This window comes from Homo sapiens, chromosome 18 (assembly GCF_000001405.40).
Source record: "Homo sapiens chromosome 18, GRCh38.p14 Primary Assembly".
Taxonomy (NCBI): Eukaryota; Metazoa; Chordata; class Mammalia; order Primates; family Hominidae; genus Homo; species Homo sapiens.
Window position 1 is genome coordinate 22,839,358 of NC_000018.10, and position 17,035 is coordinate 22,856,392.

Here is a 17,035-nt window from a genome sequence, read left to right on the forward strand (position 1 = left end):
TGAGAAGAAAATGCATTAAAATGCTTTATGATACACTGTCAGATCACAGGAAGGTCTTAAGTATGTCACAAAAGATAAATAAGCTTCAAAAAACTATAAATATTCTATATCCCTGTTGAGTACAGCTTGAAAACTCAAGCTTAGTAGTGCTTACCAGCTTACAGACTCCTGCATATCCTGACTGCTGACCTTTAAGCCTATAGTTTCTGTTTTGATCTTAAGATGATATAGCTGTTCATTAGACTCAGGGAACTCCCACAGCCCTGAACAGGGGTCACTAACGTAATCTCTCCTTTCTCTGCCTTATCTCCATTATAAATCCAAGATACCTTTGGAGATGAATAGGTATCAAGTTATCTGACTTACCTTAGCCATACAAGCATCCTAGGAATTTTTCCTGATGATACAATAAGAGTAAACGGGCTCCAAAAATGCAATGAGCATATGCAAAGCTTTGCTCCACCTTTCTTATTTTTTCCACCCAACATTTATCATTACCCCCAAAATGCCAAATGAGGGACAAAAGAGAGATACCAACAGAGGAAATAAACTTGAAGAGACATTAGAAGAATGATTCATTGAGATAACAGAGAAAAAAGCATATACTCCAGGCAGTTTAAGAAAGTTACCTAATAGGGCATAGGTTCAAGATACCCAACGTGAGCCAAGAAAACCCCCTATGTTGCCAAATGTCAAATAGCATCATTATTATCAGTCTCATTGATAAATTATCGGGTTTTTATGTATTGTCTGGGAATTTACATTCTAACACCCCTGAGATGTAAAAAGAGAGAAATAAATATAGGCATGAGGAAACGCAAGGCAAATAGCTACTCAGAAGATAAAAACACTTGTATAATGCAGGTGTCATGAAGCAATCACACTGCACTACAGACCAGGGAGCGTGAATCTACCTCAGACCGACCACTCAATCCAAAATTACTCAATGATATTGGTAGTGTGTGATCATCTGTATGAGCTAAAGCATTGTTATGCCAAGGCACACCTGTCCACAAAATGACACCTCTATATTTCACAGATCCAAAAAGCCACTGTGGAACCAGAGAGAATGGGAATTTGTGGTCTGAATTATCTAACCTGTGCCAGACTTGTTATTCCACTTAACTATGATGTAAACTGTTCAGATGTATTTAGTTTGCCTTATTCTTTAAAATTAAAAATGGAAAGTGTTTATCGAAATGAAGATCCAGAAGTACCTACTGAGCCTATTTCCTCTCAGCTGTTTTCAACTGTAAAACACAAATATGTCTAACATTCTTTAAAATTAAAAATGCAAAGTGTTTATCTAAATGAAGTTCCAGAAGTACCTACTAAGCCTATTTCCTCTCAGCTGTTTTCAACTGTAAAACACAAATATGTCTAACCCACGAAGCCTATAATCATTAGCAGCTGGGTTGCTGTGTGTTGTAGTCATGAAAATGCTCCTCTCAGACCTCCTGTTGGAGACAGCTTAATTGATCCTGTCCCTCTGGATGCAGCACTGCATCTACCCGAAGGCCATACTTCCTAGCCAATGATAGAGCACAGCAGATACTAAGGCAGGCCCATTCTGGCAATATACAGGACTCCTGAGTAACTTCTATTTTAGGACTCACCATCGACCTGGCCAAACTTTCTTAGCACTACATGGCAGTCTGAGACCCATCCTACCCAATCCTGCTACTTTCCTTCTTCTTTGCTACACTGTGGTTCTGAAGTTTCTCTCCACCTCCTCCTGCTCCCTCCTTCAGTAATCTCTTTCATATCTAATCCTAGCTTGAGATTTATTTGGAATGGGTCCAAATCAAAACAGGTGGTACACAGAGTGGTGTGAGAAAACAGGCAGGAAGATGGGGATTTGGGATTGGCTCACTCACCCAACATTAGATTAAGTGGGGGCCATCTTGTGTGGTAGGTAGGGTACAGATAGTCCCTGGCCCAAGGTAGGGGCCCAACTGCTCAAGATTTCACCCACAATGACCTGAGAAAATGTCCCGGTGGAAGGGAACAATCATTCAGTTCCAATCATTCAGGCATTTGAAAAAACAACAGGTGTGCTGGCTCACACCTGTAATCCCAGCACTTTGGGAGGCCGAGGCGGGTGGATCATCTGAGGTCAGGAGTTCTAGACCAGCCTGATCAACACGGTGAAACCCTGTCTGTACTAAAAATACAAAATTGCTGGGTGGGGTGGTGCATGCAGAGCTCCAAAGACGTCTGAATGATCCACCAAGGTAGGTCTACTATGGTAAGGTCAGGGCCCTACTTGGGAAAAACTAGGATCCAGAAAAATGAGATGAGAACATCTAGATGGATGCCTCCTCAAGATACTGGTTATGAAGATCCCCCCGAACCTTCAGAGCTTGCAAAGGTGGCCTACCCATCCCTCGTAAGTGGAAGCACCTCCCTTTGTGCTAGAAAATGGTAGAGTCCTGTCCCCTCTAGAAGGAAGTAAATGCCCCCTCAGAAGCTGCCCTTTCCTCCCCTTGGTTACCCAGCTGAGCACCTGATGGGCCTGATAAGAAAGAGACTCTATACCAAAGAAGAGCTTACAAGAGTGAGCTAGCATGCACCAGCAGGAGCCAGGAGCCTAGGATTAGATTTTAAGTGTGCTTGATAAAAAGGGCCAGAATGTAAGACTGGATTGGGTAAGCAGAAATTCATTAACTTGAATTTAATTTAGCTTGAAGGCACTTACTTGGGACACAGGATTTAAAGCCTGGCAAGGATCCCAGAGTATGAGGAAAATTCACTGCTTAGAATGGCTCTGAGAACACTGAAAAAAGTGATGACCAACACGGCAAAGTGTAAATACCTGAGTTGCCCTCACAAATGCTAGAGGAAAGAATAAAGAGGCTAAGGGAAGCGGGCAAGGCCAAAATTAGGGTGAGGCAAGAGCAGTGTCTAAGGGGCATAATTCAAGGAGCCGCTCACTCTCATGGTCTTGAAATATTAGGGTCTTTGCCTCATCCTAGTACTGGACCTGGAAATGGGTATGCTAGAGTGTATCTATTATGTAAGGCAGTAAGATTCCCCTAGAGGATTGTGTTCACAAGAAAGCCTACCAAGGCCACCAGAAATGTGCTGAGAGGGAAAGCAGTATCACTAAGAAGTTTGGTAGCGGTTCCTCTGCAGGCCAGGGCTGATTGTAGGAGAGGCCATCATAGAGCTGGGCTCATTAGTATTCATATTCATGATAGAGGCCCCACAGGAATAGAGGCCAAGTGATAGCACTTAACTATCAAAAGTCAGGAGGCTGCAATTACCATAATGGCCTGCAAGATCAGAGCAGCCAATGGGTTTGATCCACAGGGAGTTGTGGAGATGGTTGATAAAGCATGGTTTTCCTAGGAGCAAAATAGAAGGGCAGTCAGCAAGGGTGCTACTTAACATCTTTAAATTTAAAAAAAGGCAAGAATGGGAGAGCAAGAGGCAGAGGATAGTCATACCTATAAAAAAGTCACAATCCTCTGCTAATATTCCCAGACTTGAGCAGATTTTTAGAACCAAAATCCATTGACTAAATACCACAGAAAGTATATTCTATAATCATTCCTACGACACCCACTGCAACAACTTGGCAGTTGGAGTAACCCCCAGATTAAGACCCTTGGCCTATGGAGTAAGAGCTATCACAGCAGGAAAAACCAAGTGGAAATCTTTAAAATTGTTCCTCCTCAGCCAACATAGTAATTCAAAAACAATATATCCTACAGATGATGAAGGAGATTGTTGCTGTCATTAAAGAGCTAAAGGAGGCAGAGATGGTGGCTCTCATCATATCTTCATTTAATTCACTAATCTGGCCCCTGCAAAAGCCATCTGTAGACTATCACAAGCTCAACAAAGGAGTATCCCTGATGATAGCTATTGTGCCAGACATGGTTCTACTATCCCTCTTCTAAATTCCCCCTTAGAAAGAGACCCCTAAGGAACCACGGAGGAGTTGCATCCCAAAGCTATGTGAAGTAGACCTGTGTGGAACAAGGGTTAGACAGGAGCAGGCATGAAAATGCTCCTGTCAGACCTCCTGTTGTGAGGAGCATAACTGACCAACAGCCTGAGATCTTGTCCCTCTGGATCCAGCACTGCATTTGCCCCAAGGACATACTTTTGTTGTGGGGGGTGGTTCCCAGCCAATTCTGGACCACCTCAGAGATACTAAGGTAGGTCCATTTTGGCAATATACAGGACTCCTCAGTAACTTTGATTCAAGGACTCCCCATCAACCTGGCCAAATCTTCCTTGGTACTGCACTGCAGTCTGAGACTCCTCATACCCAGTCTTCCTTTCTTCCTTCTCTTCTACACAATCTGAAGGATCTCTCCACCTTCTCCTCCTTCCCCCAGTAAATCTCCTACTTCTTAATGGACTTGACCTAATATACCCCGAAAACCTGGAAGACTATGGAAGAAAGGATCTGCATTTGCATTTCCCCTGGCAACCAGAATGTTTTTAAACTATACAAGGGGATCACAGACTTACTTATTTCTTTATTTTTACCACAATGAAGGTAACCTGCTAAGGGAAGGAGAATCTAAAGATGATTAAAATAAACCTGGAACAAAAAATTGCTTTGTATCTTAAAATTTGCATAAGGCATAGTCAGGGCACAAAGGGGCTGATGCAGCCTCAGTGCCAAGGTAAATGAGGCACACACTGTACAGTATTTTCTGTGTTGGTGCCAGTCACACAAATGGGATCTGCCCAGAGCTAGTCTTACTTGTGTTCCTAACTTGCCTGAAAATGTTTAGAAATTGTCATTCCTGGATCAGCACTTTTAGTTTGGGTCTTGGTGCCAGTAACACCTTTAATTCTGTGGTTTTCATTCATATGCTGTTGACTTGTGATGCATGCGGCCTCACCCACAGAATAATAAATGGTTCCCCAGTTCTGTTGGAGTTAACCTAGGTTAGAAGCCATAGTTTGGTGGACTCTGCTCAGATTAGTCAGGTTCAGCCAGATTTGTGGTTGACTTGACCTAAAATGAAATGCAATGACCTATTCACTTTCCAGACATGTCCAGGATTCTAGGAGTGGTCCAAAGTTAATCTGAATCCATGAAAGGTGTGGTTTTTTGGAAATCACCCAGAACTAAGGGATCCTAGGGTTATTCTTATTCTTGGTGACTAATGTACAAACGATTTAATGTCTCTGTACATTCATTTCCTAATGAATATAATAATCCCTCCCTTTAAGAAGGTTGTAATGTTTCATATAATTGTATGAAATGCCTTGAAATCTTTAATGAGAAAAGGAAAAAAAGTTATCATACACACCATTTTTAATCTAAGGCAAAAGAATTCAATCAAATCTTGAGGCTTAATTTATTAGGCTTTCTCAACTTAATTATTTATCTATACTGAAGTCTGCTGAATGCACATTTCATTGGCACATTTTATTTTTCAAGGGTGTAGCCTAGCACAGTGACAGATATTTAATAAATGCACATCAACTTGCAAGAAGAAATGTGGACAATTTAACAGAGTCATCGACTGAGAATCCAGATACCAGGGTTCTAGTTCCAACTCTGCTGCTAGTGCATTATACAATCTTCCACAAATCACTTGGCTTTAATTCTCTCTTCCGAGATTGAGAACATTGGTGTTAAGCATCTCTAAAGTAACATTCAGGCCTTTAAAAAATCTGTCATAATTTGTGAAGTTGTTACTCTTTTATATTGCTCTAATGATGAGACACTTTTTTTAAAGAAGAAATATAAAGACATTTATAAGTAAATACTTTCCTATTTTATTTTTCTCAAAATCTGTGCTGCATTTTAAAGGCACTGTGGTATAACTCAAAGAGTACTAAACATGGCTTCTAAAAATGGATTTGCTACTAACTACTTTTGGGGCTTTAGGTAGTTCATTTCACATTTTTAATTTTCTAAAAACTAAAGACTCAGTTTTCTTATCTGTAAAATTAGGGTGTTGGATTAATTCTCAAGACTCTTCCTACTCAATCCAAGGTCTATTCCAGCCCTAATATCCTATAACTCATCCAGATAACATTTTTAAGTGTCTGGGTTATTTTTCTAATTACAAAGGTAATACCTGCTCACTTAAAAATATTCAAAGAATACAAAAATATGCCAGGCACAGTGGCTCACGCCTGTAATCCCAGCACTTTGGGAGGCCGAGGCAGGCAGATCACAAGGTCAGGAGTTTGAGACCAGCCTGGCCAACATACTGAAACCCCGTCTCTACTAAAAATACAAAAAATTAGCTGGGCGTGGTGGTGGGTGCCTGTAATCCCAGCTACTTGGGAGGCTGAGGCAGGAGAACCGCTTGAACCCAGGAGGCAGAGGCTGCAGTGAGTCAAAATTGCGCCACTGCACTCCAGCCCAGGCAACAGCATGAGACTCCGTCTCAAAAAAAAAAAAAAAAAAAAAAAAAAAAATATATATATATATATATATATACAGAAATATATTAAGTAAAAATTAGAGTCCACCATAATGCTATCCCTTAGAGATTGTGTTAACAGCTTATTATATAATCTTTCAAAATTGTCTGACATACTAACATAGATGTATTATTACACTATTATTTTATAAAAGAAGATATATATACTTTTATGATTTTTTTAATTTAATAATATATCATGAACCTCTGCCAACTAGATATATGTAGCTCTATCTCATTCTTTTTCATGACTCTGTTCCATTCAGTGGGCATATCAAGTTTATTTACCTGCTAATGAATATTTAAATGGTTTTAAAATTTTTGTAATGGGTATGCTGGATCACCTGAAGGCATCTTTGCCTATCTATTTTTGTACAAATTTGGAAGTACTTTCTTTAAGGTAAATTCCTATAATGGAATTTCTTGATGAAACAGTGTAATTTCCTATGTAGGGGCAAACTGCTCTAGAAAGAAGTGTTATCAATGTACATTCCCACAAATAATGTACGAGAGGAGAACACTAGGTGGTGCTAAGCATGCTAATTTATATTTATTATGTCGCCGGAACTGGTGAGGCTTATTATCTAGTTTGGGCCTTATCCCCAAATAAAACTAGACTAGTGCTGATATAAAGGATTTCAGATCTTAAGTCAGGTCTTCCTCGGTCTCCCGTCAGACTTATCACATGCAGTCCCAGAGAGCAGAATAGTCCCAGCATTTGGAAATAACAGACGAGTAAATTCTGGCTCAAAAGGACAAAACTTTCTAGTAATCAGAATTTTCCCATAAAGGACTATGTTGCCTATCAATTAGAAAAGCCCTGTCACTGTATTATAAATGGTGAACAACTGAAAGCTGGATGACCTTTTGTCAATAAGTAGTTGGACCTGATGACCTTTAAAGTTTCCTTCAGATTCAAAGGCTCACAAACACCCAGATTTGAAGGGCAAGAATTAGGGTTAAATCCTCCCACAGGCACTTGCTTCCCTAGACTGTTTTCTATCAGAGTAACATTTTTTATGTCTTCTCTGTCCTCTATAATTGAATATTTCATTAAGTTAATTTTCATAAGTCTAGGTAAGTATCCCTCACAGAGCTCAAGGTCAATATTTCTATTTCCATTAACTAATTCATCAGGTATTTTCTGAGTCCCTACTATATACCAGGCAGAATACTAAATTCTGGGGATCTGACAGTGAGCAAAACCAACAATTCCTGCCCTGTGGCATTTACAGATTGTGCTTATCAATGTAAGCTACATTTGAAGACAGCCATAAAGCATTTATTTTAACTGCCTATAGAATTAACTGGATAGGCTGCCCAGTAAATCAGAATATGTTCATTTAGAAAATCAGAAACATGAGACATGTTTTTAAACTATTTCTCACTGCTGATTTTTTCAGTTAACATAAAGCAAAACAGAGAGCAAAAATAATTACCTGAGAATTTGAGGCAAAGTAAGAGCCAAAGCAATTATCTCATCCAAAAGTAAAACAAAGAAAAACATGTTTACCATGATTGACCAGGAAATTGCACCTGCATTCTATTTCACCTATGGATAGGTCTTCCAAGGACCAAATTCTAAGATAGAAATCTCTGAATATTCTAAGGTCATAATGACTTTCCTGGCCCCAAACCTAATGTCACATTTCTTCTGACAGGCTACAGAAACAAGAGAAAACAAAAAAAAAAAAAGGTCCACAGGATGGCTTGGGTTGAATTATGTGTGTTTATGAAGGAAAGTGTCAACTAGACCACATGTGTCAAGGGGAAAAATATCATAAAGAATTTCCCAAAGAAATCCTTGAGCCAAAACCCTTTCTTAAGTAAAAATATCATCATTTCAGGGCACATTCCTCTCCTGTCATGCATGCATGAGCAGACTGCTTCCTGCTGAAAGCTCATTCTGAAAATGAAATGCAGTCCCTATGGTAAGCCTAGCTTTCCATAAAGGCAGGACAGAGTAAACAAAATAATCCTCACTTTCAGTTCCATTTCTTTACTTTAGGTAGGATCTAGAATGTTCAGGGAACAGGAATTCTTCGGGAAATTCTAGCTCTTTGAAATATAGCCACACAGTCAAACTTGGCAAAAGGTTTTAAAATTGTATTCTTAAAAAAACTATATGAAGAAGCTTTTATAACTCAGTATATTTTTTAAAAACCAATTGTTTCTTTATAAGTTTCCCAACCCAACATACCATGCAAATCATTATTTTTACCTTATGATTCAAATGTATCCTTGACCACATGTAATGGGTAAAGCCACAGAGACATGATCCCTCTCCTACAACTCAGAAGCTAACTGATTTGGTGTTTAATTTTTACTTTACATGATATTTCTTTTGTTCTTATCATTCTCAGGAAGAGTCCTATAGCCTGATATGCAATGTACACTTTGGTGGTTTTTGGATGCAACCAAAAAAATTGTAAATTTTGTACCATTTTTGACATATAGAAACCACAGTTTCACATGATTCAGCTCAGGAAAGGACTCATCTCTCTAGACCTGTTTCTTCATCTTAAACTTGGGGATGTTCAATAAGACGAACTCAAAAGTCCTAGGTTTGCTATTCTATGATTCTACAAGTTACAGGATCATGTTCATATAAGGATATACTGGGGAACATATGCATAGGTGACATTTGCTATTATAATTTCACTAAATAGGGAAAAAAATCAATTCATTTCACAAGTGGTTATTGAGCATCTACTTAGGACAAGGCCCTATTAAAGAAATAATTTTTTGATATGAAAATGATAGGGCTTTTTATGGAGAAAAAACTCTAAAATATTTGGGGGGCTTGAATTCCTTCAGCTTTAAGCCAAATTTAATTTTACATTTGTCAAATACTTGGTTATGCTTAGGAATTCTAAGAGGATTGCTTAATAAGTACAGTCATACCTTTCTTCTAATGCCCTGGCCTGAGTCCATGAATAAGAAGGGAACAAGCTGCCCCATAAGAGTTTCACAACTTCTTTCAGGCACTCACTCCATTATATAGGGAAATTTATGAAACATACATGTGCCAGATTCTCCCAGAGTAGGTGTTCCCTTTATAAGTAAGTGATAAGCCACTAAAAGTGCATTAACTCTTTTAGTCAATAAATCATTCATTCCACAAATATTGCCTGGGTGTGTATTATCTCAAACACTAGGCTAGGATTCAAGATATGGGAATAAACAGACTCTGTCTTCAAGGAGCTCGCAATCTATTGAACAAAATAGAAAAGTAAACAAATACTTGTACTACCTTGTCACAAGTATGTAAAAAGTATTATAATGGCACGAAGTAAGCATCAGAGGGCCTATTTCACAAAAAAAGTGACATCTGAATTGGAATGTAAAGACATGGGAAGGAATCACCATAGGTGGCAGAGGGGCAATGGGGCACAGGATGAATACTACAGGTTAATTGAACAGGTTATGCAAAATATGAAGACCTGAAATAATATTCTATATTCAGAGAAAGGTGAGAACACCTATAGAGTGTGAGGAAAAGATATTAAAGAAAACAAAATGGATAAAGCAGATTGGGGCTAGCTTTTGAAGACCCGAAGGCCTGCTGAAGAACACCAACTCTATTTTGTATGTAAGAGAGAACCACTGGGGTGCCTTTAAAACGGCAGGAGAGCAACATGATCCAATTTGAAAGGTCATTGAATGACAGTGTGGAGGATAGTTTGAAAGTGGGTAAGCTCTAGTCAAGATCAGCTAAATGGCCATTCTTTTTTTTTTTTCTTTTTTGAGACAGAGTCTCGCTCTGTCACCCAGGCTGGAGTGCAGTGGCACGATCTCGGCTCACTGCAAGCTCCGTCTCGTGGGTTCACACCATTCTGCCTCAGCCTCCCGAGTAGCTGGGACTACAGGTGCCCGCCACCACACCCGGCTGATTTTTTTGCATTTTTTAGTAAAGACGGGGTTTCACCATGTTAGCCAGGATGGTCTCGATCTCCTGACCTCGTGATCCACCTGCCTCGGCCTCCCAAAGTGCTGGGATTACAGGCATGAGCCACCGCGCCCGGCCGGCCCATTCTTAATAGTACGGAAAAGAGATGAGGAAGGACGAAATTTAATAGAGTAAAACACTAAATTACCACTGACTAACACCCAGAAACTTAAAAGCATTCACGTATATCATTAAATCTCGAGTTCCATCTATTCACGAATTGATCAATCTCAAACTATGCAATGACAAAACAACTAGTTTAACTGATTTTTTTTGCAACAAATTGGCCAGTTTTTGTGTCACAGCATAGAGATACTTATCTGTTCATGAACTGCCATAAAATAATTTTCAGCTGGGGAAACAAAAAGCAACTTTCTAGCTTATAGAAGGATTTTTATGATAAAATGGATGTCCAAATGGTATTTGTTCCACACGAGAAAAGAATCTAAAATTGAAATTAAGTTCTCCTATTTGAGTATCACATTAACTCAATATAATAATTTTCTATGTAGAGAGAAAACTGTTTGCAGGGATAATCCAACAGTAGAGAAGTGAAATCTGTGAGTTTATTTGAAATCTTTTGGGCAACTCTTTGCAGCAACAGTGCCATCTTCCTACATTTTGCTTAGATTAATTTTAAGATTTATTTTTCTTATTTGGAACACATCTGTAGGAAGCAAGGAGCATGCAAGCTAGGATATAGCAAATCTGAGAGTTAGCATTTGTGACAGATAATACACATGTGCATTATACACAAGACAAAAATAAAATTTTATTCTCAATTTCTAGATATTAGATAACTAGATGGTGGTAGTTCCATTCTAGTTATTAGAAAACTATTTAGGATTGGAAGAACTGAGGTGGTCAAATGAAAAAAGTGAATTAGTTGCATTCTTACCAACTGTGGAGCAAAGAAACATGTTTCTCATGGCCCAAGGCAGGCTTGAATGAGAAGGAAATCTGGGGATCTACTTAGATAGTGCCAAGAAAGTGCCAGAGATGGATGCCCTGGAGATGAGCAAAGAGAGGTCCTGAAGTCACAGGACTAAATTCCAGCACAGTGGAATAAAACAGAAAAAAGAAAGGAGTACCTACATAAGAGAATCAGTAGGTTTGGGAGAGTGATAAAATCTTAACTTTTCTATTTTAACAGTGAAATCTTTTGCAGAGCAAAAATTTTGATTTTTGAAGTCCAATTTATCAAGTATTTATTTTCTAGATCATGCTTTCAGTATTATATCTAAGAATTATTTGCCTACCCCAGGTCATGAATATTCCTTCTCATGTTTTCTTCTAAATGCTTTATGGTTTTCCTTTTTTTTTTTTTTTTTTCTTTTTTTTTGAGACGGTGTCTCGCTCTGTCGCCCAGGCTGGAGTGCAATGGTGCAATCTCGGCTCACTGCAACCTCCACCTCCCAGGTTCAAGCGATTTTCCTGCCTCAGCCTCCCAAGTAGCTGGGACTACAGGCACATGCCACCACGCCTGGCTAATTTTTTTGTATTTTAAATAGAGACGGGGTTTCACCGTGTTAGCCAGGATGGTCTCGATTTCCTGACTTCGTGATCCACCTGCCTCAGCCTCCCAAAGTGTTGGGATTACAGGCGTGAGCCGTGCCCAGCCTGGTTTTACATTTTACACTTAGAACTATGATCCATTTCTATTTACTTTTTTAAAAAGGCATGAGTTTAGGTGGAGGTTAATTTTTTTTACATGTCTATATCCAATTGTTCCAACACCATTTGTTGAAAAGATGATCCTTTTTCCATTGAATTGCCTTTGCAATTTCATAAAAAATCAATTGGCCATATTTGAATGAAGCCAATTTCTGGACTCAATTCAGTACCACTGATCTACATGTCTATCCCTTCACCAATGCCACACTATATTGATTACTATAGCTTTGTAGTAAATCTTAACATCAGTGTAAGTCATCCAACTTTCTCCTTTTTTCAAAATTGTTTTGGCTATTCTGGTTTTTTGTTTGTTTGTTTTGTCTTCCCATATACATTTTAGAATTATTATATATATATTGAGAATATGTCTATTTCTTCTTTCAGTTTTGTCTATTTTTGCTTCACGTATTTTTAAAGTCTGTTAGGTGCACACACATTTAGATTTGTATGTCTTCTTGGTGAATTTACTTTTATATTATTACATGATGTCTCAGTTTATCCCTGGTGATTTTCCTTGCTCTGAAGTCTACTTTGATTATTAATATATTTATACCAACTTTATTTTTATTCATGTTTAAAATGTGTCTTTTCCCATTCTTTTTCATTTAACCTTCCTATATCTTTATACTTGAAGTATGTTTCTGGTAGACAGCATATAGTCGAGTGATACCTTTTTACTCATTCTGATTATCTCTATTTTAACTAGTGTGCTTACACCATTTACATTTAATGTTAATATTGATATGTTTGGGTTTAGGGCTACTATTTAATTATCTGTTTACTCATCACTCCTTATGTTTTTCCTTCCTCTGTTACCCTTTTTTTCTTCTTCTTTTGGGTTACTTGAGCATTTGTTAGTATTCTATTTTAGTTTCTTATTATTTCACTTTGGGCTGTGTGTGTGTGTGTGTGTGTGTGTGTGTGTATGTGTGTGGTGATGACTGTTACAGTAAACAAACTTAAACTTTCTCAGCATGCTTTGAATCAATATTTGCCACTTTAAATGTGATGTAGAAATTCTTCCAAGATCCCTTTACCTTCCATCCTTCATGTTGTATTTGCCTTATATATTACTTCTATATGCATTGAAAACCCATCAGATAATGTTATAGTTTTGGTTTTCAATGATCAAATATACTTCAAACACCTTAAAAGGAGAAGAACAGTCTATTATATTTGCCCAAATATTTGCTATTTATATTGCTCTTCCTTCATTCCTCATGCTCCATATTTCCTTCTGGTGTCATTTCCTATCTGAAAATTTTCATTTCGTAATTCTTTTAGATCAGGACTGTTTGTAGTGAACTGTATTAGTTTTCTTTCATCTGAGAATGTCTTTATTTAACCTTCATTCCTAAAGGATATTTTCACCAGGTATAAAATTCAAGATTAACAATTCTTTTCTTTCAGCACTTAAAAATGTTGTTCCACTATCTTTTTCATGAACAGTTTCTGATAAGAAAACCGTAGCCAGTTCAATAATACATCATTTTTCTCTTGCTGCTTTCATAGTATTTTGTCTTTAGCTCATAATGATTTAATTGTGATAGGTCTAGACATGGATTTATTTGGTTTTGTCACATTTAGGATTCACTAGACTTCTTGAGTCTGTAGGTATATGTCTTTTACCAAATTTGAGAAGTTTTTAGCTATTATTTATTGAAATGATGTTTCTTCCCCCATGTTCTTTCTCCATTCATTCCGAGTCTCTAATCACATGAACATTAGACTTTTGAGTATTATCCCACACATCTTCCTTCATTTTTAAAATATTTTTTATGTCTTTTCTGATTGGATAATTTCTATTACTATATCTTCACATTCGCTGACTCCTCTGTCAATTCTATTCTGCTATTACACCCATTCTGTAATTTTTAATTTTAGTTATTGTATTTTTCAGTTCTAAATTTTCTCTTTGGTTATTCTTTATATTATCTATTTCTTTGTTAGGACTTTTTATCTCTTCATTATTTTCAAGAGTGTATGCCCTTACTTATTTGTACATATTTTATCAGATAATTTCAACATTTGTGATACATTAGCAGTGGCATCTGTTGATTCTTATGCAGGTTGAGATTTTACTGTTGTTCAGTTCTGTTCCATGTGTGTGTCATTGAATGACCAGTGTGGGACCTAGACTGTGACCTACCCCTTAGTTCAGTTCTCAAAGTATTTAGTATCCTGTTTAGGATCCATGCATGCACAAATCCAGGGTGAGCTCAAGAGTTCACAGACAACTTTATGAGTTTTCTTCCCAGGCTCCCTGCTCTCCATGATCTCCCTAGTACTTCTGGTGCCCTGGGGCTCCCTTTTCAATGTTCTAATCAGGACACTGAACTTCTCTCCTCCCCTCCACATTTTCTTTTTCTTTTTCTTTTTTTTTTTTTTTTTTTTTTTTGAGACGGAGTCTCACTCTGTCACCCAGGCTGGAGTGCAGTGGCTCACTGCAACCTCCACCTCCTGGGTTCAAGCGATTCTCCTGCCTCAGCCTCCCTAGTAGCTGGGATACATGTGTGTACCATCATGCCCAGCTAATTTTTTTGCATTTTTAGTAGAGACGGGGTTTCACCATGTTGGCCAGGCTGGTCTCAAACTCCTAACCTCAAATGACCCGCCCACCTCAGCCTCCCAAAGTGCTGGGATTACAGGCATAAGCCACCATACCTCCCTCTCCTCCACATTTTCTAGTGGCCCCTCTCTGGAGCCAACAGCAAGATAACAAGTGGAGGGAAAGCAAGAGGGTTTCACTCCACATTTTTGAAACCACAGCTTCTCCCATCAGAGAGAAATGTTCCCATGCCCCAGTTTTAGGAGGAACCCAGTAGCTGCTGTTCTTGCTGTCACTGCCCCTATCACAGCACAATTGCCTAAAGACTGGCAGAAGAGAATGGAGTAGAGACTTAAAGGAGAAAGAGTAGGAGAAAAAGAAGAGGAGGGAAAAAAAGAAGAGGAGGAGCTGGGGGAGAGAAGGAGGAAGAAAGGGGATTTCCAACTCTTTCTCTAAATATTAGCTAATCTTTTCCTGGAAGAATTAGAGGTCTCCTCCTGGAGCTCTCTGTGTCTATGTTCCCTTTTTGGTTTGGGTTGCCTTAAGTTCAGGTTAGGGGTTACCTAGAAACAAGAAATGGTTATCTTATCACCTATTTGGTGGTACTTTGAATTCTGTACCACTTTCTGCTTACTATTACTTTTCAAATAGGAGTTGAAAATACTTTTCAAGAAGCACATTCTAATTGAACCAGAACCGTATCTTATCTGGAACCATAAACATAATAGACAGTTGTATAAATTGTGTTTGCATTTTCAAATAATTCAAATTGCAGTATGGCTTCCAATAAACAAATATTTGTTTTCTTCATTTGCCTAACTATAAATAACCTAGTTCCACTACATGTGAAGTTTATTATCCATTGACCCACCAGAGGTACTGCTGTGTCTTTAGAAATCAGAAGCATTCTTGGCCGGGCGCAGTGGCTCACGCCTGTAATCCCAGCACTTTGGGAGGCTGAGGTGGGTGGATCACGAGGTCAGGAGATCAAGACCATCCTAGCTAACATGGTGAAACCCCGTCTCTACCAAAAATACAAAAAATTAGCCGGGCGTGGTGGTGGGCACCTGTAGTCCCAGCTACTTGGAAGGCTGAGGCAGGAGAATGGTGTGAACCCGGGAGGTGGAGCTTGCAGTGAACCCAGATGGCGCCACTGCACTCCAGCCTGGGCGACAGAGCAAGACACCGTCTCAAAAAAAAAAAAAAAAAAGAAATCAGAAGCATTCTTATTAATAATTTCAAAAAATAATTATTTGGCCAATGTTATCTCTACTTCCTTCTACTTTTTTCTATTTTACTAAAGGACTATGATAAATACAATTACATGAAGATATAATTTGTATTTAGGATAAAAAATTAATATAGTATTATGTTGTTTGATTTGACAATAATTCGAATCTCTACATGGCTGGACCATTTGATTATGCATTTAAAGCAACAATAGCATAAAAAGCCCCAACATATCAAAGACTAACCAACTAAATAGCCAGTGATATAAATAAAGAACCATTTTTAGAAGAAGTCTATGCTGCTGTTTAATATTTTGAATCACTCCACAATGCTGAAATCATTTAAAGAAAAAAGATTTTTATTTTTATGTGCCTGGGTTTCCAATGCTACTTATACTTACTAAATTATAAGACCTTCATGGTCTTTCATAAAATTAAAATTCCATGAAAAAAGTATAGGTAGGAGTTACTTCTCCTAAAAGGTATGTCTTATCTATCTAAACAGAGTGCTAAACACTCGTTGAGACAAGAATCACATCTTTGTTAATATATGCTAATAAGGCTACGAATGCCTGGAAAATGGAACTGCCAAAGTGAAAAAGAATCTGGGTAATATTCCTGGGCACTAAAGGAAACAGAAAAAGCCAGACCAAGAAGAAAGATCTGATAGATTTTGTGTATTTCAAGGCATGATGGAACTGGCCAGAAGTGGGGAGGAGGAGTTGAATGAAATTTAACTATTAAGAATATGATAGGAAAAAAAAGAGTGGGTGCAAATGAATATAACTGGCTTTTCAGATAACAAAGAGAACAAAATGTATCATTCTGTCTTAGCACATCAATCTGTTGATAATAGTTTAATAAAACCCATTTGTTCCTAGACTTTTAGAAGTTAGAAATGCAGCACATTTTTACTATGTAAGTGTTCCTTATCCAATAAAACTTTGATTACATAGCATTGATTTTATTAGATTTGTACAAATTTTTCCCAAAACTCCCTCTTACTCTACTTGTGAAAGACAAATATGGTTTGAAATGGAGACACCAAATATACACTGTTTATCCCAATGGATACTTGTGGAACTATAATCTTTAAAAATGCTGAAAGGGGGAGGTGAATTTCCACCGCTCACTCAAATTGAAGTGGGGGAAGTGATCACAGTGAGAATGTGTATGGAAAGCCCACAGTAACTGTTAAGGTTAAGATCACAACTTGCCAATTTAGGGT

General features: G+C 38.1%; 1 long non-coding RNA gene across 1 annotated transcript in view; it reads right to left on the minus strand.

Annotated features, from left to right (window-relative positions):
• The window catches only part of RBBP8-AS1 (RBBP8 antisense RNA 1), a 210,274-nt gene that overhangs the window by 115,867 nt on the left and 77,372 nt on the right, over positions 1–17,035 (minus strand). The gene's annotated exons all lie outside the window — the stretch shown is intronic.